The following is a 27,520-nucleotide window of genomic DNA, read 5'->3' as shown; positions in this document are numbered from 1 at the left end:
TGAACTTTTTGAGTGCCAGTATTCCAATTTTCTAATTAAGGATGCTCAACCTGTAAATATAATGCAAATATTTCAAAATCTGAAACAGTCAGAAATCCAAAACCCTTCTTGGTCCTAAGCATTTTGGATAAGGGATACTCAACTTGTATGATATCTGACTATAGAAGCATTAGCTTTCTCCTAATATTCCTCTTTAAGTAAGCATTAAGAAGAGAATATGTGTGCTATTTCCCATACAAAACCTGTTAGAGATATTTAATAGCATTTCACTTATTTTGTTAAAATTACCTATTCTCTTTGCTTTCATTACTAATCCCTTATCAGCTACATTCCATTGGTGTTAAGCTACATTCTAATGTTAATGTCTCCTGTGTGATTGCTTTTGGTTAATTATTCTCATTTTCCATTCTTCAAAGTCATTTTTGCTTTTTGTTTGTTTTTATTTGTTCATAAAGCTTTTTTGTTTCTGTTACATTATGTAGTTTTGTACCAATGGCTAGAAGCAGATCGTCATGGCAAGAGCCAAGGTGCTGCAAATACGACTTCAGGTAAAAATAAAATTAAGAACAAGGATGGGCTATTATAAATCATTATTTTAATTGACTGCAAGCCCATTATAAATGTTTCTTTATTCAGTTTTGCTTGGTCAGACTTGTAGATGTTATTTTATGTTTCTCTTCTCTCATCTGCATCTTAATTTTCATAAAGACTTCATTTGCTTCAAGCCTTGAAAACATGTATTCAGTAGTCTTTAAGCTCTCTTGGCAGATATTTCCTACTTTCTTAGGAGGAAAGGATTAATTGCAGCTTCAATTTAGTAGGAGGTTATTTGGCAGTGTTACTTGGAGTTAAGTTGATATGTAGTTGTAGCAGTCGTACAAATTTATAGTCCTTGTTTGTTTCAAGATAATATTTAAAAGGTAAATTTTAAGTACAGGATGCTTATGTAATTTTTCATTTCCTGGGAATCCAAATTCTTAGACTTGGTTATTTTCCTGTTTTTTTTTCCCAGCAGTAAATTCTAAGTTAGAGGTAAAACTTGTGTTTAAAATGAGAAGTATAGGTTGTTCCCCCATCTCTCATCCCCAAAAGTCATCACCAAGATTCTCTTCTTTTGGCCAGTGCTAGTAGGAATAGCTGCATCCAGTCATTTCTAAATTCTCTTTTTTTTTTTTTTTTTTGAGACGGAGCCTTACTCTGTCACCCAGGCTAGAGTGCGGTGGTGTGATCTTGGCTCACTGCAACCCCCACCTCCCGGGTTCAACTGATTCTCCTGCCTCAGTCTCCTGAGTAGCTGGGATTACACGTGCATGCCACCATGCTTGGCTAAGTTTTGTATTTTTAGTAGAGACAGGATTTCAGCACGTTCGCCAGGCTGGTCTCGAACTCCTGACCTCAAGTGATCCACCTGCCTCAGCCTCCCAAAGTGCTAGGATTACAGGCATGAGCCACAGTGCCCGGCCCATTTCTGAATTCTTAACAGTGATATCAGAATTTCTACATAGTTAGTTCTTCCCCTAATATCCTTCCAAATCATATTTGCCAAGACAGCTGTGTATATATAGCAATGATCTTTCCTGTTACCCCTTTTTTAAGCAGTCTAATAAGCAGTGGTGGTGGTGGTTTTGCTTTTCTTTTGTTAGATTTGTTACTGTTTTGTGGCTTTTTTTGTTTTTGTAAAATTATTTCTTTCTGGAGGTGGTTTCCTTCTTGTTGATTCTTTGTGTGTCAAGAAGGTGCAATGTTCCTTAGTTAACAGAACAATTATATTGAGAATGGCACTTTCATGACCTTTCTGATATATCTCCTGTCCCATTAATAACTTGATACATGAATGAAGATAATGTTATTTTAACTATACACAGGCAGGACTGAATTAAAAGGTAAGTGTTGCAAGGAGTTTTATGATAGGTTATGTCTTGTTTCTTCTGCTTCTGCAGTGTTTCATATTTTATTTACATTTGTGGATAATAAAAGCAAGTATTTCTGGTGTTAGAGGGTAGGTGAAGGAGAGGGTTTCTTGATGGCTATCATGAAGTTACGCTGTTGCTGTGTCAGTACACTATCAGCAGCTTAGACTATAACTGGGAGGAATTTTGTTTTTTCTCTAAAGTGAAATGAAAAGTAACCTAAAAAATCAATCTATCTTTCTTTTCTTTTCCTTTCTTTCCTCTCTTTCTTTCCCTTCCCTCCCCTCCCCTCTCCTCCCCGCCCCCTCCCCCTGCCCTTGCCCCTGCCCCTGCCCCTACCCCTCCCCTTGCCCCTCCCTGCCCCCTCCACTGCCCCTCCCCCTCCCCTTGCCCCCCCTGCCCCCTCCCCTTGCCCCTCCCTGCCCCCTCCGCTGCCCCTCCCCATGCCCCTCCCCCTCCACCCTCCCCATGCCGCTCCCCCTTACTTTCCTTTCTTTCGAGATGAGGTTTCACTATGTTGCTGGTCTCAAGTGATCTGCCCACCTCAGCCTCCCAAAGTGCTGGGATTACAGGCATGAGCCACCACATTCTGGCCAAGTAACTTTTTTTTAAATGAAGAAGTGAATAATTTACAATTTCTTAGTGTTCACAGGAAAATCTAGCATCAGCTTAAAAACATCATGGACTCTTCCTGAAATCAGTTCTGAGCCCTGAATCTGTTCTTCAGCCACATTGACTCTCATGGACAGTTTCACATTCCTCTGCTGACTTTTTGATGCTTACATACTCTAGAAGCTTGGTGCAAAAATTGATAAACTCTCCTTAAGGATGTCTGACAATTTCTCTTCTAGAAATGAATGCTCTCAACTCTTAGAAGATGGAAGTATGGAGTAGAAAAATACAGAGATGAAATGTTTGCCTAAATAAGTCAGAGGAATCTAAAGAAAATAATGATCATTAGCCAAGGACTTCAGTTAGAAATAGTAGTTTAGTTGCCTAAGCAAATGTATTTAAATTATGTGTCCTTGTTCAAAAAAATTCCTATGTATTTTATATTGTTGTCTCCAGCAAGATTTTTGAGTGTGACTTTTTCGTCCTTCTGCGATCTGTTTTGCATTCCAAGGTGGTTTTTTTTTTTCATATTTTTACCCAAAATAGAAACTGAGTCTAACTAGAAGTCAAATACAATTCATAAATCAAATTGCTTTGTGATATTTTTAATAGTATAAATACTGGTAAAGTGACATTTATCTTTTGCTGTAACAGCTAGTATTTTGCACTTAATTAGAACTCTAAAAGTAGGAAAACACACAACACAATAAAATTGTTGCAAGATCTTCTAGTTCCTTGATCCCAAATTTTTGACATTGGGAATTTAAGATCCGTCTACCTTAAAATATTTCATGAAACTAAAACATTTAGGGATAATAGGTCTTAAGGGAATTACTCTGGTTGAGGAGGTTAAAAAAACTAATCTGATAGCTATTATTGAATTTTCAATGTTTTACTTTTTAAAAAATTTATTAAAAAAAAAATAGGAAGAAAAGAAACGGGGTCTCACCATGTTGCCCAGGCTGGTTTCAAATTCCTGGGCTCAAGCAATCCTCCTACCTCAGCCTCCCAAAGTTCTGGGATTACAGGCATGAGCTACTGTGCCTGGCCTGAATTTTCTTAGTAATTAAAATGTAGCCTACTTTTATGTTTCCAGAATTTTGCCAGATAATGAATTTAACTTAGGATAGCTCATTTATTTTAAAAGGTTAGTATGTTTAATGTGTTCTGTCTACTAAACAGGATGACTCAGCAATGATGTTTCTAATTCTGTTAATTTTGTTACTGGAGAACCTGGATATGCAATCACATTTCTCAGAGATTTTTGTGGAAACTCAAGCAAAATTGCTTCCTTTGAGCACTGTAGCATGGGGGTCTAAGTGTGTATAAAATTTTAGGATCATAAGACATATGATTAGCTTAATGTAAGACTTTTCTTTTCTGAAGTAAATGTTTTCATATAGTTTATTATTACCACACACTGAAATGTGGACCATAATTAGGTTACAGCAATGATTATATTACCATATTTTGATTTTTAGTATCAGTTGAGTAGCCAGGATTTTAAAATTCAGATTCTGAAGTTTTAAATGCTGCTCTGTTGTTAACAGTTTTTTAGTTGTCCATCGGGATTTTACAATACAGATGGTTAGAGGCAGAAATTGAATCAGATCTCAACATTATCAGTCAGTAGTAGGACTATAAAATAAATAGAAAACTATGACATGCTTTTGGAAAAGTTCTAGATATTAACTATGTATTATTTGTTGTAGGCGAAAATTTTGACCAGAGTCCTTTGAGAAGAACATTCAAATCCAAAGTTCTCGCCCACTATCCTCAGAATATAGAATGGAACCCTTTTGATCAAGATGCGGTGAACATGGTATGTGTTTTTTTTCCCCTCATTTACTCTTTAGCCTTGTTTTCACTTTATTAATATGAAGGTAGTGACTGTATTTTGAATGTCTACCTTATTTCATTTCATTTATTCTTTAAGTGATTTTATAAGAAATGTGAGGCCGGGTGTGGTGGCTCACACCTGTAATCCCAGCACTTTGGGAGGCCGAGGCAGGTGGATCACCTGAGGTCAGTTTAAGACCAGCCTGACCAACATAGTGAAACCCCGTCTCTACTAAAAATACAAAAATTGGCCAGGTGTGGTGGCACATGCCTGTAATCCCAGCTACTCGGGAGGCTGAGGCAGGAGAATCACTTGAACCCAGGAGGCGGAGGTTGTGGTGAGCCGTGATCACGCCACTGCACTCCAGCCTGGGCAACAGAGCGAGACTCTGTCTCAAAAAAAGAAAAAAAAAGAAATGTGATACTCTCCTCATTTTAAAGATCTGGAAGCAGAAGCTCAGAGAAGCAAGTTACTTGCCCAGGGTTTCCATAGTTAATAAGTTTATACAATAGATCCTAAAAGCCCATTTTAGTTTCCTACTATTAAACTGTGTTGTGCATTTGTATTAATATGTAGAAGCTTTGATAAACAGTGATATTACTTTATTGGCCTGAGAGGAGCCTGATGGAAAGAGCCTGATTACAGTTCTCATGTTTCAAGGAATATTGTATGGTAGGCCTATAATTTGTCATTTTTACAGACAGTGTAAAGATGAAAAGCAACTTAATTGCGTTATTTAGGTACAGTAGAAATCTGAATTTGTATTATTGTTACCGGTGGATGGAGTCCAGCTTCTTGGTGTCTGGAACAAAAAATTGGACAAAACATACAAACAAAGCAAGGAAAGAATGAAGCGACAAAAGCAGAGATTTATTAAAAATGAAGGTACAATCCACAGGGTGGGAGCAGGCCCGAGCAAGCAGCTCAAGAGCCCATTATAGAATTTTCTGAGGTTTAAATACCCTCTAGAGGTTTTCCATTGGTTACTTAGTGTACACTCTATGTAAATGAAGTAATGGCCCACGATCAGTCTGTTTGGTTGTGGGAGGATATCAATCAGAAGCTGAAGCAAAGTTACACCCTACACAAACATACAACCAATCAGAGGCTGAAGTGAAGTTACAAAGTTACACTCCTATGCAAATGAAGACTTGGCCCACGACCATCCTGATTGGTTGTGGGAAGGAAACAATCAGAGGTACTTTCAGTTTTTAGTCTGTCATGCAGAAAAAGGGTAGGGGGAAGGTACAAAGGGAGTAGCCACTGGTCCTTTTGCTACTTGGGCATGGAAAGTTGGGGTTTTCCTTTTGATTTAGTTCTAGAAAGTCAGCATGAATCGGCCTTAGGTTCCCTGCCTCCAGACCCTGTTCTCCTGCCTCATAATGAGTTACCAGTGCTGATTAAATGTCTCTTTTATCCCTGCATGATGTTGTGCATCTATAAGCCCAGCTACTCAGGAGGTTGAGGCAGTGTGACTGCTTGAGCCCAGGAGTTTGAGACCAGAATGGGCACCATAGCAAGACCCTGTCTCAAAATAGGTAGGTAGGTAGGTAGGTAGGTAGGTAGGTAGAGGTAGGTAGGTAGGTAGGTGGATGGATGGATGGATGGATAGATAGATAGATAGATAGATAGATAGATAGATAGATAGATAGAAGATAGAGAGATAGTCAACCTTGAGAGGGTCTTAGAAATAAAGTAGGTCATAGTTTTCAGATTATTTAGGAAGGGCTCTTCTTAGAAGCCTGAATAATATTTGAGATGTTCATAAACTCTATGATTATATAATTCAGGGGGCCCCAAAGTAAGGAGGTAGCAGGCATGATAGATATAGAAATGAATTGGGTATATACGTAAGAATGGGAAAAAAATAAAAAAGATACAGAAATGATTAAAGGTGAACTGAGACACAGTGATAGCCATTGCTATTTTTGAGTTGTTTTGTTTGGTTTTTGTTTTTGTTTTTGAGATAGTCTCGCTCTGTCACCCAGGCTGGAGTGCAGTGGCACAATCTTGGCTCACTGCAACCTCCACCTCCTGGGTTCAGGCAATCCTCCTGCCTCAGCCTCCCGAGTAGCTGAGATTACAGGCGCACACCACTATGCCCAGCTAATCTTTTGTATTTTTAGTAGAGACAGGGTTTCACCATATTGGCCAGGCTGGTGTTGAACTCCTGACCTCAAGTGATCTGCCCTCCTTCAGCCTCCCAGAATGCTGGTATTATGAGCACATCCCACCACACCTGGCTCATTTTTGCATTTTTAGTAGAGATGGGGTTTTGCTATGTTGGCCAGGCTGGTCTTGTACTCCTGACCTCTAGTGATCCACCCGCCTCAGCCTCCCAAAGTGCTGGGATTACAGGCGTTAGCCACTGCACCCGGCCTCTTTTTTAGTATTTTAAAGATATTGTTAAAAGACTCCATTATAACCTGATAATCTAACAGAAGGAAATTAATATTCACTAGATGCCTGCTAGAGTACTTTATGTATGTTATTTTCACATACATGTTTACATGTACCCAGTGAGAATTCTTATATTTTCAAAGGTTAAGTAATTTGCCCAAAGTTAGGCAGTAAGACTCAGAAATTAAATCCAGATCATTTTTACTCTCTAGCTCACTTTTTTTCTCAACTGCCTTGCTGCCTTCCCAAAAGAAAAACTGTGTAACTGAGTTTTGATCTACACTGGAAATGTTATGGGTCACACTGGACCCTTTGTGATATTTTTGTATCACAGTAAACTCTTTCCAGCCTGGGCTCGCTCTAGGGAGGGGATAGCATGGTGCTATTTGTAAGGACAAATGCCTAAAGCACTTGGCACTTTGACTTTGATTCCTTACAGAGTACAATGTGGTTATTTTCCTAAACTGTTATACAATACTAAAATAATCAGAGATGCCATTTTGCTGGAAGTTAATATTGTAGATGCCTAGCGTCATCTTTGGTGAAGACTCTACTATAGATATTATGTAGAACACAACTGTTAGTTATCTTTATAAGACTTGGAAGAGTCCAGACAAGCATCTGACTAAAATAGTTGAACAGCAGTGACAAAAAAATAACTTATGAGCTGCTTATGCAGCAAATTAATAGAAAGGCATTTAGGAAAAGAGTGTTTAAATCAAGCAGTGGAAAACTGGATAAGAATATGAATAGATCACAATACTTAATCTTCTTAAATTAGTAAGATATTTCAAAATATAACTTATTCTGTGAGAAATCAGAATGGTATTCAAAGTGAGGTTCTAGCCTAAGCAACATAGGGAGGCCCTGTCTCTACAAATTAAAAAAGAAATAGCTGGGTGTGGTGGCACCATGCCTGTGGTCCCAGCTACTCTGGAGGCTGAGGTGGGAGGATCACTGGGGCCTGGGTACAAGTACGTTCTTACTATATGAATCCACAGTCATTTGGAACAAAATGCCACCCTTCATGTGTTTTCTTTCTTTTAATCATTTGAATGAATTAATAGTGAGATATCCATGATAGCTTTTGCCTCTATCTGCAAAACATTAATCTTTAAAGTAATTATCAGCTTCCTTGATCTTTGATATTTTCTTTACTCCTTGCCCCTGAGGTTATTTTATGTAAGCAGCAAAAGTTTCCCCCTGAAGAATAATCGCAAAGGCTGTGTTTTGATGGTTAAGCACCACATAGCATTTTTTTTATTGCTGCAAATCTAAAAGGATTTGCTTGTACTCCTGGAAAATCTCTGAAAAGCATCCCATTAAAGTAGTTTGCATTCGGGTCACAGATTTACTGCCTTTAATTTCCTCTTTGATTTACTAGTAAGTGCGTTTGTATGAAGCTGTAATTTATTCCCACCTAAAGATATAAAGCTTTGTCTTGCCTTTAGCAAAATTCCACCGCAGTGAGTCATCACCTTCTGTAATATTAGTCATTCCTCTAACAACAGTAGTGCTTTGAATAAAAGGTCATTAATTTCATACATAAATTAAGTACCCAAAGCAGTGAACTTTGTTAAATAAAATGTTTAATGTGTATGAGTACAGTGCAAATAAAATAGAAAATAAATACAAGTGACAGGTGAAATAATTCCTGAATTAGTTTTTTTTCCTCAGTTGCTGATCAGAGATTTTTATGAAAAAAAGTAAATATCACAGAACAGAAAGAACAATACAATAAACAGTCAATGTATGTATTAATCACCTAGAACTAACATATGTCAACATTGACATGTTTGCTTCAGAGCTCTACATTTCCTTTCCTTTCCCTTTCCCTTCCTCCCTTTCTTTGCTTTCTTTTCTTTCTTTCCCTTGTTTCCACAGTCTCACTCTGTCTCCCAGATTGGAGTGCAGTACATTTAATTAAATTAATTAATTTATTTGAGACAGTCTCACTCTGTCACCCTGGCAGTTCAGTGGTGCAATCTTGGCTTACTTACAACCTCTGCCTCCGGTGTTCAAGTGATTCTCATGCTTCAGCCTCTTGAGTAGCTGGGATTATAGTCGCGCACCATCACGCCTGGCTAATTTTTGTATTTATGGTAGAGACGGGGTCTCCCTATGTTGGCCAGGCTGGTCTCAAACTCCTGGCCTCAAGTGATCTGCCCGCCTCGACCTCTGTGAGCCACTGTGCCTGGTCTGCATTTCATTTTAAATGAAATAAAGCATTGCAAACAGAGCTGAAGGTCCCCCACCCCACTTTCACATCTCTTTGAGGTAATCTGCTTATTGGCATCCATGACTATGTAATATTCTAGTTGATAGATCTTATCTTTAAGCCTGTGTTGTACCTAAGAATTCATAGGAAGAAAACATGGTCAATAACTTTTAAGCAAACTGTATGAAAATATAAGGATTCTATTTTTTATGTCTGTCCTAATGAAACATCATAAATATATTTTAGGTAACAAAAGAGTAATAACTATTATAAAGCTCTTACTTTATAATTTGCTGTTAACTTTGATTACAAAGAAGGATATAGTGGAATGAAGAGCAAAGAGTAAACGGTGAAAGGTTGGCTGAAGAAACCTATTCAGATGCTTATCTTGTAAGAGTAAAAGGAAAAAGGGCTATATATACTTTTTGTAGACTTAGCAATTACTTGAATTTGAAATGGATAATCCCAAATTACATTCATAGGTTTGACATTAGAATGAAGATAAGCCCTCATTTTGAGCCAAGTTTAGGTTCAAGCTCACAATAAAATTTTTTTTTTTTCTTGAGACAGGTTCTGACTCTGTCATCCAGACTGGAGTGCACTGGTGCAATCTTGGCTCACTGCAGCCTTGACCTCCCATGCTCTAGCGATCCTCCACCTCAGCCCCCCAAGTAGCTGAGACTACAGGTGTGCACCACCACGCCTGGCTAATTTTTGTACTTTTTGAGGAGACGGGGTTTGGCTATGTTGCTTAGGCTACTCTCGAACTCCTGGACTCAAGCAATCTGCCCACCTCGGCCTCTCAGAGTGCTAGGATTACAGGTGTGATCCACGATGCCTAGCCATATCTCACAGTAAAATTATAGGAATGGGGCTTTCATTGCTGGAGGACCATTGCTGGAAGACCCTTTTGCCCCCGCCACCCCCATCCTCTCGCCCGTTTCCTTAACATTGCAGCTAGAATATTTCACTGGCATCTCAAATGCAACATATCCAAAACTGAATTCATTATTCGTCCCACCAGTCTTTTGTCAGTGAATGGTACAACCATCCACCTACTTGCCAAGTCCAACAATGTACACATCACCCTGAAAGTTCTCACTTACTCACCCTCTCCCATATATAATCAGTTATCTGTCTACTTCTCTCTGTTCCGTATACTCACCTTGGTCCAAACCATCAAGATCTCTTACCTGGACTCCTGCAGTAACCTGTCCATTTCATTCCTCATACTATAGCTTCTGCTTCTGCTGTTCCTTCTCTCTGGAAGGCTCTTCCACCTCTCCTTCACCTAGTGAATTCTTACTATTCCTTCAGACTTCACTGTAAACATTTATATAGAGAAGCTGCTCCTGACCATCACCTTCCACCGTCTTCCCAGCACTCAGGTCACCTTAGGTTCTCTTAGTACCTTGTATACCTTTTTGTAGCACCTATCTCAGTTGCAGTTAACCAATTACTTAGCTAGTAGTCAACTGTGTATCTCGTGCTTAATGTAAGCACCATGAGAACAGGAGCAGTGTCTCTTATTCATTGTTATATCCCTAGCTTTGCGCATAGTAGATGTTCAAATTGTTGAATAAATGAAGTGATACTTGCTTACAATACTTCTCTTCCCTGTCCTTGACTAGGTGTGACCTCCACTGCAAAACCATCTCTTAAGCAGGAGTAGTTACTCTGTCTTTTCTTATGATATCTCGAACAGAGTCCGTAGCAACACTGATCACATTTTTTTGGTAACTGCTGGTTTCTGTGTCTGTCTTTCCTACTAGACTGTGAACTCCCTAAAGGAAAGGATTATTTTTATCTTTGTCTTTTGAGTTACCAAGATCTAATGCAAAACATGGGACAAAATAAGTGTTTATGGAAGGAGGGAGAGAAGAGGGGAGGGAGGGAGGGAGACATTCTGAGAAATGTGTTGTTAGGTGATTTTATTGTGCAAACATCATAGAGTGTATATACACATACACAGACCTAGGTGATATAGCCTACTATACTTCTAAGTTATATGGTATAACGTATTGCTCCAGCCGTTGTCCTATAGGCAGTCCATTGTTGACCAGAGTGTGGTTATACAGTATATGATTGTATTTGCATAATGAGGGAGAGGCCATGGAAGTCATAGAACTACAAGATGTGGAAAAAGGAATTTTAAAATTCTAGCCAAACTGCCTGAAACGGTCTAGAGAAATATAAGAACATTTGCTGACTCAAACTGGGAAAGTTACACACTTGTCATTATAAGCCTGCTTTGGCTAAAGTAATCTGGTTACTAGTAGTAGTCTGATCATCAGTGACACCTCTAATTTTTAGTTGTTTTATTGTGGGATGGTGAGGGGGTATTGTTAGTAGATAGCAAAGTTAAGGGTTAATTAGAAATGTTTAATACCGTGATAAACAAATCTTGATTTATATTTCAGGTTTTCTGAGATTTCTTGTAGTTCCTGACAGTTTAACAATTCTGATGAAACTCAGGTTTTCTGAGAAAGTATCTTGTAGTTCCTGATATAAAACAGTACTGTATATCTTTTAAAAATGGAAAAATAATAGCATTTTGCAGTTCATGTTTCCCGATTAGATATATAGTTCTTACTTTTTTTGATTTGTTGGAAGAGCATTTAGGAAAAATTCTTACATCTGTTGTCTGTAGCATAGAAAGCCATTCTTCACTTTGAGTACAACTTTTGGCAAGCTTTTTCTGTAAATGTTTGAATGTGCGCTCAAGAAAGCTACAAACCCTTAAGGGAATATTTGGCAGCTGTTCAACAGCAGTTGAGCTATGATTTTGTGATTTAGGATGACAGGAACGCCTATCAATTAAATTAAATCTTTATGTTGACTTTGGTGGTCACTATGTTTCTGTATTGCCTACTTGATGGAAAAAGAATTACAAGCTGAAGTCCAGGCACTGTGGCTCACACTGTAATCCCAGCACTTTGGGAAGCTGAGGCGAGTGGATCACTTGAGACCAGAAGTTCAAGACCAGCCTGGCCAACATGGTGAAACCTCGTCTCTACTAAAAGTACAAAAAAAAAAAAAAAATAGCCGGGTATGCACGCCTATAATCGCACACACTTGTAATCCCAGCTACTTGGGAGGCTGAGGCAGGAGAATTGCTTGAACTCAGGAGGTGGAGGTTGCAGTAAGCTGACATCACACCACTGCATACCAGACTGGGCGACAGAGTGAGATTCCGTCTCCAAAAAGACAAAAAAAGAATTACAGACCAGATCAAGAGGTGAACTAAGCCTGGTGCTTTACCCCCAGCTGTTTTTGTTTGTTTTCTTGTTCATTCATTTATTCATTCAACCAATTGTTATATGCCATGCACTGTGCTAAACAAGTTTGAGTTTAGCCTGGAGCAAGAATAATTCAAATTATCCCTTCTACAATCTTTATTGACTACAATAAATGTGTCAAATGAAGTTTTTGGGTTTTTAGGGTTTTTTGTTGTTTTTGTTTGTTTGTTTTTTTGAGACAGTCTCACTCTGTCTTCTAGGCTGGAGTGCAGTGGTGCAGTCTTGGCTCACTGCAACCTCTGCCTCCCGGATTCATGCGATTCTCGTGCCTCAGCCTTCCAGGTAGCTGGGGCTACAGGTGTGTCCCACCACGCCCGGCTAATTTTTTGTATTTTTAGTAGAGGCAGGGTTTCGTCATGTTGCCCAGGCTGGTGGTCTTGAACTCCTGAGCTCAGGCAATCCACCCGTCTCAGCCTCCCGAAGTACTGGGATTATGGGTGTGAGCCACTACACCCAGCCAAATGAGTTTTTATTCATGCTATCAGCAGAGCAACTCATTAACTTGTTATGATGAAATCAGCCTTAATGTGAACGTAGAATTATTAAAAGATTCTGCCATAGCCTTTCCTTATACAGTTATTCCTAAGACTAGGAATAAGTGGCTTTTACCCCCTACCAAATCCAGGTATTCATAGGTTTTACCTAAGTCTATATCTCATTCTATCCAAATATACATAGTAATTTAATATGTAAAAGAATTGAGTAAATCTGCCTTAGTCCTTTCCACATCTCATATTCAATGATATGAAATATGAAGACATTTTCACTGGTGCACTAATGCTGAGCTTCACAGTTTTTTCTTTTTACCCATGTTATCAGTCACCACCTGTTATGGCCCCAAATGGTATATTATTCCATTGCAGTTCCCTTGAATGTTTAAAGTTATTGAAATGAAGTACTAGCCCTTGAGTAGCTGGCAATGTAGAGATCAAACAGAATTATACAATACTAGTAATGTGTATGTTTATATAATGTACATATGTTTACAGTGGTGCAAGACTTTAATTGCTTCTCCACAATAAATACTTTTTAGAGGAGTAACATTTTATGGCATGCAAAAGATGAAGAGAACACTATTTTTTATGGAAAGGTAAAGGAAGACCTCTCTAAGGTAGTATTTATGTAGAGACTTAAGGGAAGTAAGGAAGTATTTTGATTATCTATCGCTGCATGACAATCCATCCGCCTACCAGTTAATGGCTTAAAATAGGGCTTGGCAATTTTTTTCATGAAGAACCAAATAATAAGTAGTTGAGGTATTGTGGGCATACAGTTTCTGCCACAGTCACCCAGCTCTGCTGTTGTAGTGTGAAGGCATCCATAGACAGTGCATAAGTGGATGGTTGTGACTGAATCCCAGTGAAACTATTTACAGATCAGGTGGCAGATTGTATTTGACCTAAGGGTTTTTCTTACTCCATTCCTCCTGCTAAAATAAAATACTTCAGACTGAGTAACTTACAAGGAATAAGAATTTATTTCTCACAGTTCTAGAGGTTGAAAGTACAAGATCAAGGTGTCTGTAGGTTTAGGGTCTAATGATGGCCTAGTCTCTGCTTCTAAGATGGTACTTTGTTATTGTGTACTCCAGAGAGGACAAATGTTGTATCCTCACATGGCAGAAAGCACTAGGGTGCTGCTCCCTTCAACCTTTTATAAGAAGGACGAATCCTTTCATGAGGGCAGAGCCTGCATGACTTAATCACTTCCCAAAAGTCCCCACCTTTTAATACCGTCACCCTGAAGTGATGTTCCAGCATATGAATTTTGGAGGCACACATATATTTAAACCCATAGCAGGGCTGTTGTTTGCTGACCCTTGATTTAAAGCAACAAAATCATTACTTAGCCTACATATCTGCAATGTAGGTAGCTTTTGGTTGGCTGCGCCTGTATTCTACTTGGTGTTAGTTTGGAAGGTTTGAAGTCTGAGGACTGAAATCATCTGAAAGCTCACCCACTCACAGGCCTGTCTCCTGGACCAGGCATATAGCTAGGGCTCCTTCTGTCTCTGTGTGGTCTTTCATTTGGTCTCACCAGTCAGGCAGCTTCAGGCTAGCTAAACTTTTTATATGTTGCCTCAGGGCTCCCAGAGTGTGTTACCAGGTTACCAGAGAGAGAGAGAGAGAGAGAGAGAGGAGATGGAAGCTGTATTGCCTTTTTTAGCCTCTGCTCAAAAGTCACTCTGTCACTTGTCACTGCTGTTGCATTTTACTTGACTAGGCCAGGGGTGGGCATACATGGCCCCCAGGCCAAATCTGTCCAGCTGACTGTTTTTATAAATAAAATTGTGTTGGAACAAAACCATACTTACGTGTTTAAAGGTTGGTACAAAAGTAATTGTGGTTTTGGACAGAATTTTAAATCATAACTAGGCTCAAGCACATCCTTATTAATCAAAATAAGAACCATTACAATCAACACATTTTTGCCAATGAGAAATAAGTTTGTTTATTCCTGTAACGTAAAATATCCGTGCTTTGGGATTTGATGAACTCTTGGAAAGCATTTTCTGCATCCTGCTGGTTGTGGAAGCGTTTTCCCTGCAAAAAATTGTCGAGATGCTTGAAGAAGTGGTCAGTTGGCAAGAGGTCAGGTGAACATGGTGGATGAGGCATGACTGCATAGCCCAATTCGTTAAACTTTTGAAGTATTTGTTGTGTGATGTGCGGTCAGGCATTGTTGTGGAAAAGAATTGGGCCCTTTCTGTTGACCAGTGCCCGCTGCAGGCTTTGCAGTTTTTGATGCATCTCATCGATTTGCTGAGCATACTTCTTGGATGTAATGATTTCGCCAGGATTCAGGAAGCTGTAGTGGATCAAACCAGCAGCAGGCCACCAAACAGTGACCGTGACCTTTTTTTGGTGCAAGTTTGGCTTTGGGAAGTACTTTAGAGCTTCTTCTTGGTTCAGCCACTAAGCTGGTCATCGCCGGTTGTCTAATGAAATCCACTTTTTGTTGCACATGACAATTTGATTGAGAAATGGTTCGTTGTTGCTGTGTAGAATAAGAGAAGACGACACTTGAAAATGATGCTTTTATTTTATTTTGTTTTGTTTTGTTTTGTTTTGTTTGAGATGGAGTCTCACTCTGTTGCCTAGGCTGGAGTTCAGTGGCACAATCTCGGCTCACTGCAACCTCCGCCTCCCAGGTTCAAGCAATTCTCCTGCCCCAGCCTCCTGAGTAGCTGGGTCTACAGGTGCATGCCACCACGCCCTGCTAATTTTTTGTATTTTAGTAGAGACAGGATTTCACCATGTTGCCCAGGCTGGTTTCAAACTGAGCTCAGGCAATCCGCCTGCTTCAGCCTTCCAAAGTGCTAGGATAACAGGCATGAGCCACCGCACCTGGCTCCAAGATGACGATTTTTTAAAATTTCCACTCAGCTCATGAGGCACCCACTTACCGAGTTTTTCCACCTTTCCAATTTGCTTCACATGTCAAACGGCCATAGAATGGTCGACGTTGAGTTCTTCAGCAACTTTTCATGTTGCTGAAGAGGGTCAGCTTCAGTGATTACTCTCAATTGATCATTGTCAACTTCTGATGGCCAGCCACTATGCTTCTCATCTCCAAGGCTGCCATCTCCTTTTCAAAACTTCTTGAACCACCACTGCACTGTGCGTTAGTTAGCAGTCCCTGGGCCAAATGCATTGTCGATGTTGTGGTTGTCTCCACTGCTTTACGACCCATTTTGAACTTGAATAAGAAAATTGCTCGAGGCCGGGTCGGGTAGCTTACACCTGTAATCCCAGCACTTTGGGAGGCCAAGGCGGGCAGATCACTTGAGGTCAGGAGTTTGAGACCAGCCTGGCCAAAAATGGTGAAACCCCGTCTCTACTAAAAACACAAAATTAGCTGGGCATGGTGGTGCAGGCCTGTAGTCCCAGCTACTCGGGAGGCTGAGGCTTGAACCTGGGAGGCGGAGGTTGCAGTGAGCCAAGATTGCGCCACCGCACTCCAGCCTGAGTGACAGAGTGAGACTCTATCTCAAAAAAAAAAAAAAAAAGAAAAGAAAAGAAAACTGCTCTAATTTGCTTTTTTGTCTAACATTTTCAGTCTAAAATCTAAAATAAACAGCAAGTAATAAGTCATTAGCAAAAAAACATAAAGCGAGAAATGCCCATTAAAATGATGGTCCAGGCTCAGTGGCTCAAGCCTGTAATCCCAGCACTTTGAGAGGACGAAGCAGGCGGATCATGAGGTCAGGAGTTTGAGACCAGCCTGGCCAACATAGTGAAACCCATCTCTACTAAAAATACAGAAATTAGCCAGGTGCAGTGGCAGACGCCTGTAATCCCAGCTACTTGGGAGGCTGAGGCAGGAGAATTGCTTGAACTTGCGAGGCAGAGGTTGCAGGGAGCCGAGATCGCGCCACTGCACTCCAGCCTGGGTGACAGAGCAAGACTCCGTCTTGGAAAAAAAAAAAAAAGATGTATACTATAACCACATTTATTTAAAAAGTGTATTCCAATGTCAAATGGCAAATTCCAACAATGCAAAAACCACAGTTACTTTTGCACTCACCTAATACAATGTGGAGTGGAGCAGTTGTGACAAAGACTGTAATGGCCTCCAGAGCCTAAAATACTTATCTGTCTCTTTATAGAAAAAGTTTCCCAGATCCTGGTATAGGCACTCTCAGCAGCCCACCCAGGTTCAAGGAGAGTGAGCTCCACTTCTTAATGGGGAAGTGTCAAGGTTTGGAAGAGTGTGTGAAAGTAGAAATATTATTGGAGCTATATCTGCCACAAGGAATGAGTCATGTGGATACCAAGGGGAAGAAAGCTGCTGGAAAAGGGAAGAGCAGATTTTGATGGGAGCACGCGGGGTGTGTTCATAGAACAGTAACGTGCCATTGTTGCTGGAGCAGAGTGGGTGAGTTAGAGAGTATAAGATGAGGGCAGAGAGGTTGTTGGGGGCTGAGTCATGCAGGGCTTCCCTGCAGGCCATTATAAGGACATCAGCTTTTAGTGAGATAAGAGTCCATTGGAGAATTTTGGCAAGAGTGACAAGATCTAACATATTTTTTAAGGATTGCTTTGGCTCTTATAAGGGAAATAGATTATGGGGGACAAGGGCAGAAACAGGCTGTTACATCCAGACAAGAAAAGAGGGTGACTTAGATTAGAGTGGTAAGCGTAAAGATCAAAACAATTACTTTCTGACTCAGGAGGCTGAGGCGGGAGGATTGCTTTTACCCAGGAGTTTGAGGCTGCAGTAAACTGTGATTGTACCACTGCACTTCATCCTGAGTGATAGAGCAAGACCTCACCTCTAAAAAAGAAAAAAAAAAAGAAGCAACAGCAATTAGTTTCTGCATGTATTTTTGAAGATAGAATTGATAATATTTGCTGATGGATTGGATAATGGGGTAAGTGAGAAAGAGAGGAAGAAGTTAAAGATGACTCCAAGGTTTTTGTCCTGGGCAAATTAGATGGATGGAATTACAGAAAAGACTGATATAAGAAGAAACTGATTTGGAGGAAGAAATCAGAACTTCAGTTTGGGACATGGTAAGTTTGAGTTGCCTATTAGACATCTTGATGGGATTGTCAAGTAGTTACTCAGTTAAGAGTCAGGTTCATGAGATTGTAGATTTGGGAGTTGAAAGAGTATATTTAAAATCATGGAAGAAGTTGCTCTGGAAATGAACTTGGATAGAAAAGAAACCCAAAATGTGGCACAATCATGACATGAGCTTCAAAGCCAATAGTTTTTAGGGTAAAGGAAAGGACCACAATCTGAAATGGCTGTGAGGAGCAGTTTGGACACCCACCCGCCTTCATGCTTAATGACAATTGTGTTGCATTAATCCTATCCCACCATCAAGATTTTGTTTTTAAGCAGTGGGAACCCAGAAATCTTAACACTGAAAGAATTCCACTCTACAGAATAAATGAAAGTGGAATGTGCATAGGGGAAGAAGGGACACTGGCCCTCTCAACTTCTTCCTCTAGCCTCTCACTCCCTTCCAAGGCCCTGAGACATTCCTGCTGCCTCTTTGGAACCCCTTTGAAAACCACTCCCCTTAGTGTTCCAAGATGGATGTGCTAAGAGGCACGTCTAATTCTGTCCCTCTCCTAAAAACCCTTCAGAGGTTTCCCATTGTCCTCCCCACAGTTCTAACATGGCCTACCAAGGCCCTTCATGGGCTAGCCCCTGATTATTTCTCTTGCTTTCTCTCACGTCCTCCCACCTTGCATTCTCTGCCCCACCCACACTGACCTGTTCAGTTCCTCAAACTCTTCTGGGCTTTTGCACATGTCCTCTCTGCCTGGAATCTTCTTTATCCACTAAGACCTATACTCGTCCTGAGGTTTCAGTTGGGCTTCATTTTTTCCTGGTAGCTCCTTCTTTTCTAATGTGTGTCTTCCTACTATTATATGTTTTTCCCATAGCAACCCTTATTTACCCTATCATAGCACTTCCCTTACTTTATAGTTTATGATTTTTAAAACTTACCTGTTAACCTTACTCGACTGGAAATACCATAGGACCATGGGCCATGTCTGTCCTTCCCACCATTGTATCATAGGGCCCCTCTCATAAAAGGCACTTAATAAATGTTTTTTGACGGTTTGAATGAAGAAATAAAGGAATTGTATTTTCTTGGTAATGTGGGGATGTGGGAGACAGTCTAAATTTTGTACCACATCAGTTATTAAATATAGAAAAATAGTAATAATATATGGTTAAATTATTTCTATGTAAAAAGCATATTGCAATACAAAAATAGAAATATCTAAATATGAATAATGAGTATTAGGATGGTTGAATTACAAGTTCTGTTTTCCTTAGTATATTTCAACTTTTCTGTAATTTCACTTCTTTTATTTAAAATGTTTTAAAGAATCAATTCTAATTTTCTGTGCATTTTAAGTGTCTTAAATATAGCATCTTTAGCTCCTCTGGGTAATTTTGTTCTCAAGTTTCCTCAATCCTGGGTAGTTCCCAAGAACTAGAGCATAATCTCTACTAGAAGTAATCTAAAATGCCTTGTTTCTGTGCTTCTGCTTTAGTAGATCAAAAAGCTTTCAATTTCCAAAGTTTCTTTTTCTTGGATAAAATACCATACTATTCAAAATAGCAAAGATGACACTGTTGTTTTTATTATTCTTTGTTTAACTTTTTTCCACTTCCTAAATGAGCCTTTTCCTATTTCCCTGTATTAAATACTTGAGTACTATTTTTGTGAAGTGCTTTTTAATATTTGTGAAATGCTTTTGCCTACTCTGTCTTCAAGTCGTTGATACAGCAACTATTGTAGATAAAGGAACTGAGGCTCACAGAAGTTATATGGCTTGCTAAAGGCCACAAGCTTGGTTAGAGGTTTACTCTGGGACTAAATCAGTGATTCTCTTGTTCTTAGTAAAGCCCCTTGCATGTAACATCACACAGTAAAAGTTTTTCCCTTGTATATACTCCTTTTAAGAATAATTTTATATACATGTGTATGAGGAATTTATAATATATTTCTAATTTAAGGCTATTGCGAATATTAAATCTGGATAAAACCTGTCTTTTTGAATCCTGTTATGTTAAAAAAACAACATTTATTTCTGGCTTGAAGTTATTTGTGTACTGCATTCTGATTTTTTTTTTTCTTTCTTTCACAGTTGTGCATGCCTAAAGGGCTATCTTTCAGGACACAAACGGACAATAAAGACCCCCAGTTTCACTCATTTATAATTACCAGGGAAGATGGTTCTCGCACCTATGGTTTTGTTCTCACTTTTTATGAAGAAGTTACAAGTAAGCAAATCTGCACAGCAATGCAGACACTTTACCAGATGCACAACGCTGAGCATTACAGCAGTGTGTATGCTTCATCTTCCTGCAGTATGGACTCATTGGCAAGTAGTCTTGATGAAGGAGATACAACTTCCCTTTTGAAACTCCAGCGATACAACTCCTATGATATTAGCAGAGACACCCTGTATGTTTCAAAAAGTATATGCTTGATCACACCGTTACCATTCATGCAGGCCTGCAAGAAATTCCTTATCCAGCTTTACAAGGCTGTTACCTCACAGCAGCCACCACCCTTGCCACTTGAAAGCTATATCCACAATATTCTTTATGAAGTACCCCTTCCACCTCCAGGGAGGTCACTGAAATTTTATGGTGTTTATGAACCTGTCATCTGCCAGAGGCCTGGGCCCAGTGAACTCCCCCTCTCTGATTACCCCCTTCGGGAGGCATTTGAGCTCCTGGGATTAGAGAACCTGGTGCAGGTGTTTACCTGTGTTCTTTTAGAGATGCAAATCCTTCTCTACTCACAAGGTAGGTTTTCCTTGGATTTTACATTTTCCAAAAACAAGTACTTTTGCTCCCAACTACTGTGTTTCCATGGGGTATATTATTAGAACCGAATAATGATCACAGTCTTTTCTGTTTTGTGTAAAGGGAGCAGGTATGGTGGGACCAGCGGCTGAGATGAGACTGCTGTTTCTCTTTGAGGTGGCAGTCAGTGACTGCAGAGAGAAATAGGAAGGAACACAAGTGTTAACTTGGCTGATTTGGGTATATTTATTTATTAATGGAAATAGCCCTTTTTTCCTGATAATATATAATCGTCATTAAGAAAACATTTTTTCTTCATCATAATGAGAGTGAGAGAACTCTGTTACTACCAGAAACGTGTAGACTTCCCATTCTTTATGGATTAGTAAAGGTTCACATCAAAACTCAGCGAACATTGAAAAGGGATAAATGAAATTGTTGACTCTGCAGCTTCCTGAGGCAATCAACTTTGGATCTTTGCCTGTGGGAGCATTTCATCTGAGTGAGAGAAAAGGTGAGCAGGCATGAGACAGATGACTTTCCCAGGTCTAACAGTTCTGCCAGAGTTGTGTGTGTGTGTGTGTGGTTTTTTGTTTATGTTTTTTAATCTCAGAAGGAAGTTATCTTTGTGGTATCTTTCATTCAAAGTTCTTCCAACACATATTAAGAAAATAACAAACTATGGATTTTATTTTACCAGTACATTTGTGAAGACTAATGCTGAGCCTAGACTAGGATACTAGTTGTCATCTGAATATGAATGTGTAGAGAAAATAGAGATGCTATGTCTTAATGGATAGTGAATTGAAGGAAATTATAAAATAGTACCTGTACACTGATAGATTCTTCAAAAAAGGTTACACAAATATTTGGATTCACTTTTTTTTTTAGACAAGTTCTCACTCCGTCACCCAGGCTGGAGTGCAGTAGTGCAATCATGGGTCACTGCAACCTTGACATCCCGTGCTCAAGCTGTCTTCCCACCTCACCCTCCTGAGTAGCTGGTACTATAGGAATGTGCCACCGCATCAGCTAATTTTTTATTTTTTGTAGAGACGGACTGTCACTGTCTTGCCCTGGACTCTCAAAATCCTAGGCTCAAATGATCCTCCTGCCGTGGCCTCCCAAAGTGCTGGAATTACAGGCATGAAGCATTGCACCCAACTGGGGTTAGCATTTTGCTAACTTGTATTTAAGCTGGCAGAATTGTAGTGCAATCCCGACTGGTGCCGTCAAGCTTATTTTACCACTTTCCTTTTTTTATTTTTCTATTTTAAATTATAAGTGGGGCTGAGCCAAGTAGACTATATTTGTACTTCCCCATCTTGTGTGTATGTTGACACTATTTGTGTGTTGACAGCCGTTCACAAGGTTGTATTTTCTTCAGTTTATCCAACATAATGTTCTTTGATAATGTGTTTCATGTCTCAATTTTTGTTGTCAGGAAGTTATTCTCTAATGACCAATCTAAATTCTTTCCTTTCTTCTTTCACCCACTTTCTTTTTATATGTATATATTTAAAATATATTTTAGTGAAACACTTTCTCATCATCTTTAGATAAAAAAAAAATCCATTTTTTAATCTGAAGCTCCTTGGGCATTAGGAGTTAATTGCTTTCTGCTCCACAGATTTCAGATGCCACTGCACTAATTCCCCAGTGCTCTTGAGGCAGAGCTTAGACATGTCCTCCTCAGTTGGAAATCCTTGTGGCAACTTCAGGGGCTTGATTCTTACTGACTGTTAAACCACTTTCAGTTTTGCATTCACTGAAGCAATATGCTTGTGAACTTGATGGATATGTGTGTTTTCTAATCTGAGCATCTTTATTATGTCTTTTTCCCAATATGGACACCTTTTTGTACTTTTTTATTCTGGTAACAATATGCAGTTTCTGAGGATTCTGTGGATCTCCGTCATATTTTTCATGATCTGCAAGTGAAGGCTGAAACGCTTTATATGGAATTCTTGACCTGGTAAATTTGTGATGAATCCAATCTATGTAAACGAGAGACTTCACACCTTTTGTCCCAGTCTGTAGTTCATTTTGCCTCTTGAGCTACTGACAGCAAAGTCCCTGCCATAAGTGTGGTGGCTGTTCTCTTTAGAGAGAGCGCCTGCTAAATATTCAGCATGAACCTTCCCACCAGCAGAAGCTGAGGACTCACTGCTTCCATTATTACTTACAGATCACCTTTTTGTATCTGAAAAATTTTACCTTAAGTAATTCTCTCTTCCTTTCTTCCTTTTATTTCCCTGAATGGAGTAGGGATTAGAGAATGGCTAGAAGGGGCAGAGGCTTGGAGCTTAATACCTTATGGTGTTTTAGCCCATTAGAAAAAAATAACTTTTTTTTTTTTTTAAGACAGAGTCTCGCCCTGTTGCCCAGGCTGGAGTGCAGTGGCATGATCTTGGCTCACTGCAACCACCGCCTCCCGGGTTCAAACAATTCTCCTGCCTCAGCCTCCCGAGTAGCTGGGACTATGGGTGCGCACCACCACACCCAGCTGATTTTTGTATTTTTAGTAGAGACAGGGTTTTCACCATGTTGGTCAGGCTGGTCTTGAACTCCTGACCTCATGATCCACTCGCCTCAGCCTCCCAAAGTGCTGGGATTACCGGCGTGAGCCACTGTGCCTGGCCGAAAAAAAGAACTTTGTATTCTAGACTTAGAAGAAATCTTAAAGGCCATTTTCTTGAATCTTGAAGTTCAATTTATTTATGTTCTGCCTAGAGAAGCAATTTGGGTTAGAAAGAATATTGGGGGTGGGTGGGTTCTTTTGTTTTGCCTTTAATTTTTAGAGATGGGGTCTCACTGTGTTGCCCAGAATGGAGTACAGTGTATTCACAGGCACAGTCTTAGCACACTGCAGCCTCAAACTCCTCAGCTCACACCATCCTCCCATCTCAGCGTCCCGAGTAGTTGAGACTGCAGGCACATACCACCATGCCTGGTTTAGAGTATTGGTTTTTGAAGTCATAACAATCCTGGGTTCAAATGTCTACTCTGTCATTTATTAACTATACCCATGGGCGAGTTAGGTAATCCTCCTGTGTGACAGTTGCCACATCTCTATAGGGATAATAGTTTGGGTTTTTTTTTTTTCTCCTTTCTCACTGATCTATTATGACAATTAAATAAGAAAACGTGTATAAAATACTTAGGGTATAATTGACACTGACTAAATGATAGCTGATGCTATTATAATAATTACTAGTTTTATTAGTCCCATATAATCTTCTATAAATTACACTTATCTCTAAGTTGTGAAGGTTCAACATATTACTACATTTAACATAAAACCTTTTTAAATGATACAGTCAAGAGTTTATTCCAGAGTTGAGAACCTAATAAATGTTCTTTTATATTGTATACCATGCTTTTTTTAGAAGGCAAAAAAAAACTCCAAAAGCTTCCATTATCACACTTCCTCTTTTATTTTTTATTTTTATTTTTTTTTATTGAGACGGAGTCTTGCTCTGTCACCCAGGCTGGAGTGCAGTGGCGCAATCTCAGCATATTGCAACCTCCACCTCCTGGGTTCAAGCGATTCTCGTGCCTCAGCCTCCCAAGTCCCTGGGACTACAGGCGCGCACCACCATGCCTGGCTAATTTCTTTGTATTTTTAGTAGAGATGAGGTTTTGCCATGCTGGCTAGGCTGGTCTCGAACTCCTGACCCTAGGTGATCTGCCTGCCTTGGCCTCCCAAAGTGCTGGGATTACAGGTGTAAGCCACCGCACCCGGCCCACACCTCCTCTTTTAAGTAGCAGGTTATGTCTCACCGTTTGTGGTCTGTCCTGAGCTCTCCTATTTCTGCTCTTTTTTTGTTTGTTTGTTTTGAGACAGGGTGTCACTCTGGTGCCCAGGCTGGAATGCAGTGACATGATCGTAGCTCACTGCAACCTCAAACTCCAGGGCTCAAGCAACCTTCACCCCTCAGCCTCCTGAGTAGCTGGGACTACAGGCATGCATTACCATACCTGACTAATGTTTTTTATTTTTAGTGGAGATGAAGTCTCACTACACTGCCCAGGCTGGTTTGAAACTCCTGGGCTCAAGCGATCGTCCTGCCTCAGCTTCCCAAAGTGTAGGGTTTACAGGTGTGAGCCACTGCTTAGCTTGTCCTGTTTGGTTTGTGGAGTCTGTTCAGGAGTTTTAGCTCATTAATATCTACCAATTTATTTCAGTTTCAAATGAAGAAGAATAAGCATTTATGGATATGGTTTTATACTCTATTTTTTTGTAATCTGTATGCCGAGAACAACAGAGTGAATCCTGAGATTATAGAGCTAGATTTTTAAAAAATTTAAAGTGACATACCCCAAAAAATTGCCATACAGTAAATTTATAACCATTCACTAAAATCACTCTATGTTAGGAATTGTGCTACAAAAAGGCATTGTATATTTTGGATCTTTTCCCTACATTTAATCCTCTCAACAGCAGTGAGTTAGTGCTGTTGTGCATTTTTTGTTGAGGAGGAGATTGAGGCTTGGGGAAACTAAGTAATCTGCCCAAGATGATACAGCTAGTAAGTAATGTAGTACTACTAAGAATTGGGTTTCATCAGTCTTTTTTCAGATGCTTAACCACTGTGTTAACTGTATTGGGCACTGCACTTAACCTCTCCTTATCTGTCTCAATATTTATTTTTAAATGATTAACTCATTCTGTGGGTCTATTGTAAAGGTGTCATGCGAAGTAATTGTAGAGTATAAAATGAAAGCGCTGTGTAAATCTAGATTTTAATATTGACAATGTCTCTTCTATTAGAGAAAAATATTTCAGTTAAATGAATGAAATAGGTGTCCTTATGTTGATTTGTACTTGGGTGCCCTCCTTTACTCTTCTTAACTGTGTTAAGGGGGTTTTAATAACATGTGATACTTCATTTCTTACTCACTGATAAAGCTATGCCATAAATTTAAAAACATTGCGTGTGCTGAAGAGTTACCATGAAAACCCAAAGTGAATCAAAGTAGGTGGATTTCAGTGATGAAAATGTCCTTCTAGACTGATTTGAAATTCTGATCCACAGCCCATTTAAACCAATTCAATCTGTTATTTAGGAAATGCATATATCACTGTCACTTTGCAGTGGTAACTAGCTAGAAATTCTAAGTAGAGAAAATGTACCCAGGATGTGAAGGCTCTTTTCTAGGACCCCAGATCAGAAATGGGCACTTTGTTCTGCAACTGGGAAATACCTGGAGCAGCACAGTATGAAAATCAGAGTATGATTCTTTTTTCAAAGAACTAGTGGAAGAATAAAAGGGGAATTTAAACACCATTGTCTAACTTTTGATACCAATAATTGAAGTCTAAGAAACATTTTTGGGCCTTGCTTACCTCCTTTGGTTCTTCATAGTGGAAATAAACCACTACCCACACCACACTGCATGCCTGTGTGCCTTTGCAGTGCTTGTCTGCCATCCCTCTGTTCGTTTCATTCCTCTTTGAGTTGTATGTGAATTAACCTTGTCAGAAGGTGGAAGCTACTTAAAGTTTTCTTGAAAAAGTTGGGAGCTTTCTCATCACAAATTGCTAGGCATGCTCAAGTGGACATCATAGTTCTCCTTGGAACTGCCATCCATAAACCAAACAGTACTTTGCTGGTCAACTGAGAGGTATTTATAGGGCATTGTCCAAGTGACAATTAAATGCAGAAGGTTCTCCTACAGTTCCAAAGTCAGTCCAAGGGAAAAAGAGGCTCCCTATATGTGAGAATCTCTTCCTTGCATTCCTCTGGTAACAAGATCCAGTATAAACCATTTCTTTTTCAATAGGGATCTCTTTTGGGCACTGTCCTCTCCCATTAGAGTGTTTTTCCAAAATCGCCTTAGATACCGTGGATATTTCAAGTTTCAGCATTGTTTTATGTCCTTCAGTCATAGGGGCACTTTAAATCAATATCCAATAGCAAACTTAGTAGTTGCCTCTGAAATGGAAAGTCTGTAGTCCAGCACCCTGATAGTTGTCACTGGGAGGCACTCGCAGGCTTTCGACATAAGCCCTAGCCCACACTCCACATACAGAGAATTTGTCTGTACCAGTGCTCCAGCTTCTCGGTTCTACACTGCGTGAGCTCAGGCAATCTAATTCATTCCCATTTAGCATGTCCAATTAATAATGCTTGAAGGGTAGATTGACACTGTGCCCTCTGTTTTACTGTACTAGGTAGGAGAAATGGGGTGAAACAGTCAAACCTAAGATCCACTCCCATAAAACATTTAGATAAAGTGTGTTTAAACATTCCAATTTCATTCAAACTTCCTCCTTAATCCTATCAACCTTAACACTTTAATATATTATCATTCTAATTGTAGCCTGCGTTAAGGCTGTAAGCCACTGTGTTGAGGCAATGGCTCCTGCCTGTAATCCCAACACTTTGGGAGGTTGAGGCAGGAGGATCACTTGAGCCCAGGAGTTTGAGACCAGCCTGGGCAACATAGCAAAACCCCATCTCTACTAAAATACAAAAATTAGCTAGGCATGGTAGTGTGCACCTGTAGTCTCATCTACTACAGGGGCTGAGGTGGGAGATCGCTTGAGCCTGGGAGGTGGAGGTTGCAGTAACCTGAGATTGTGCCACTGCACTCCAGCCTGTGTGACACAGTGAGACCCTATCTTTTTTTTTTTAAAAAGACTTCACTAGAAGATTTTGGTGCAACAGCATATAAGGCTCTCAAATGAGTCCCAGAAACTTCTCCATCCCTTGATTATTTGACCCACTCCTGTGCATTAGGTTTTGGGTGTTCAGCAAGGTATCTTGGCCCTTTTGTGAGTCTTTATTTTGATTAATTTACCTTACTATATATCCCCAAGCAATTCCAGATCATGTTTCTAATTGTAATCTTTCCCTTCTTACATTTTAAATTTCTCTGTGCTGGGGCAAATAGAGCAGATTTGTTTGAGCCCTTTAATTTTGGGAAACCATCTGAGGGTCCTTATAGT

The 27,520-nt window shown here is 39.8% G+C and overlaps 1 protein-coding gene and 1 pseudogene across 27 annotated transcripts in view, besides 1 other annotated feature; one reads left to right on the top strand and one right to left on the bottom strand.

Moving 5' to 3' along the window:
• The window catches only part of DENND5B (DENN domain containing 5B), a 208,911-nt gene that overhangs the window by 90,983 nt on the left and 90,408 nt on the right, over nucleotides 1-27,520 (top strand). For 13 of the 27 annotated variants that reach the window (XM_047428428.1, XM_006719040.4, XM_005253326.3 and 10 more), the window contains 3 exons: nucleotides 483-548; nucleotides 4,235-4,344; nucleotides 19,899-20,565. In XM_047428428.1, coding sequence (XP_047284384.1) covers nucleotides 483-548; nucleotides 4,235-4,344; nucleotides 19,899-20,565 — 843 coding nt within the window. Of the gene's footprint in view, nucleotides 1-482; nucleotides 549-4,234; nucleotides 4,345-19,898; nucleotides 20,566-20,688; nucleotides 21,080-27,520 lie in introns of those variants that run through there. The other 14 variants (XM_047428430.1, XM_047428421.1, NM_144973.4 and 11 more) reach the window with 5 other exon arrangements.
• MRPL30P2 (mitochondrial ribosomal protein L30 pseudogene 2) lies at nucleotides 22,102-22,727 on the bottom strand (annotated as a pseudogene).
• Nucleotides 22,307-22,356: an enhancer, noted in NCBI's record as "active region_6166". NCBI's record gives its function as "activates an Ori minimal core promoter by ATAC-STARR-seq in GM12878 lymphoblastoid cells {active_cell/tissue: GM12878}" and the evidence as "EXISTENCE:reporter gene assay evidence [ECO:0000049][PMID:35858748]".

The sequence above is a fragment of the Homo sapiens genome, chromosome 12, assembly GCF_000001405.40.
Source record: "Homo sapiens chromosome 12, GRCh38.p14 Primary Assembly".
Classification (NCBI taxonomy): domain Eukaryota; kingdom Metazoa; phylum Chordata; class Mammalia; order Primates; family Hominidae; genus Homo; species Homo sapiens.
Note: the sequence above shows the minus strand (reverse complement) of the source record. Positions and strands in the feature narration are given on the sequence as shown.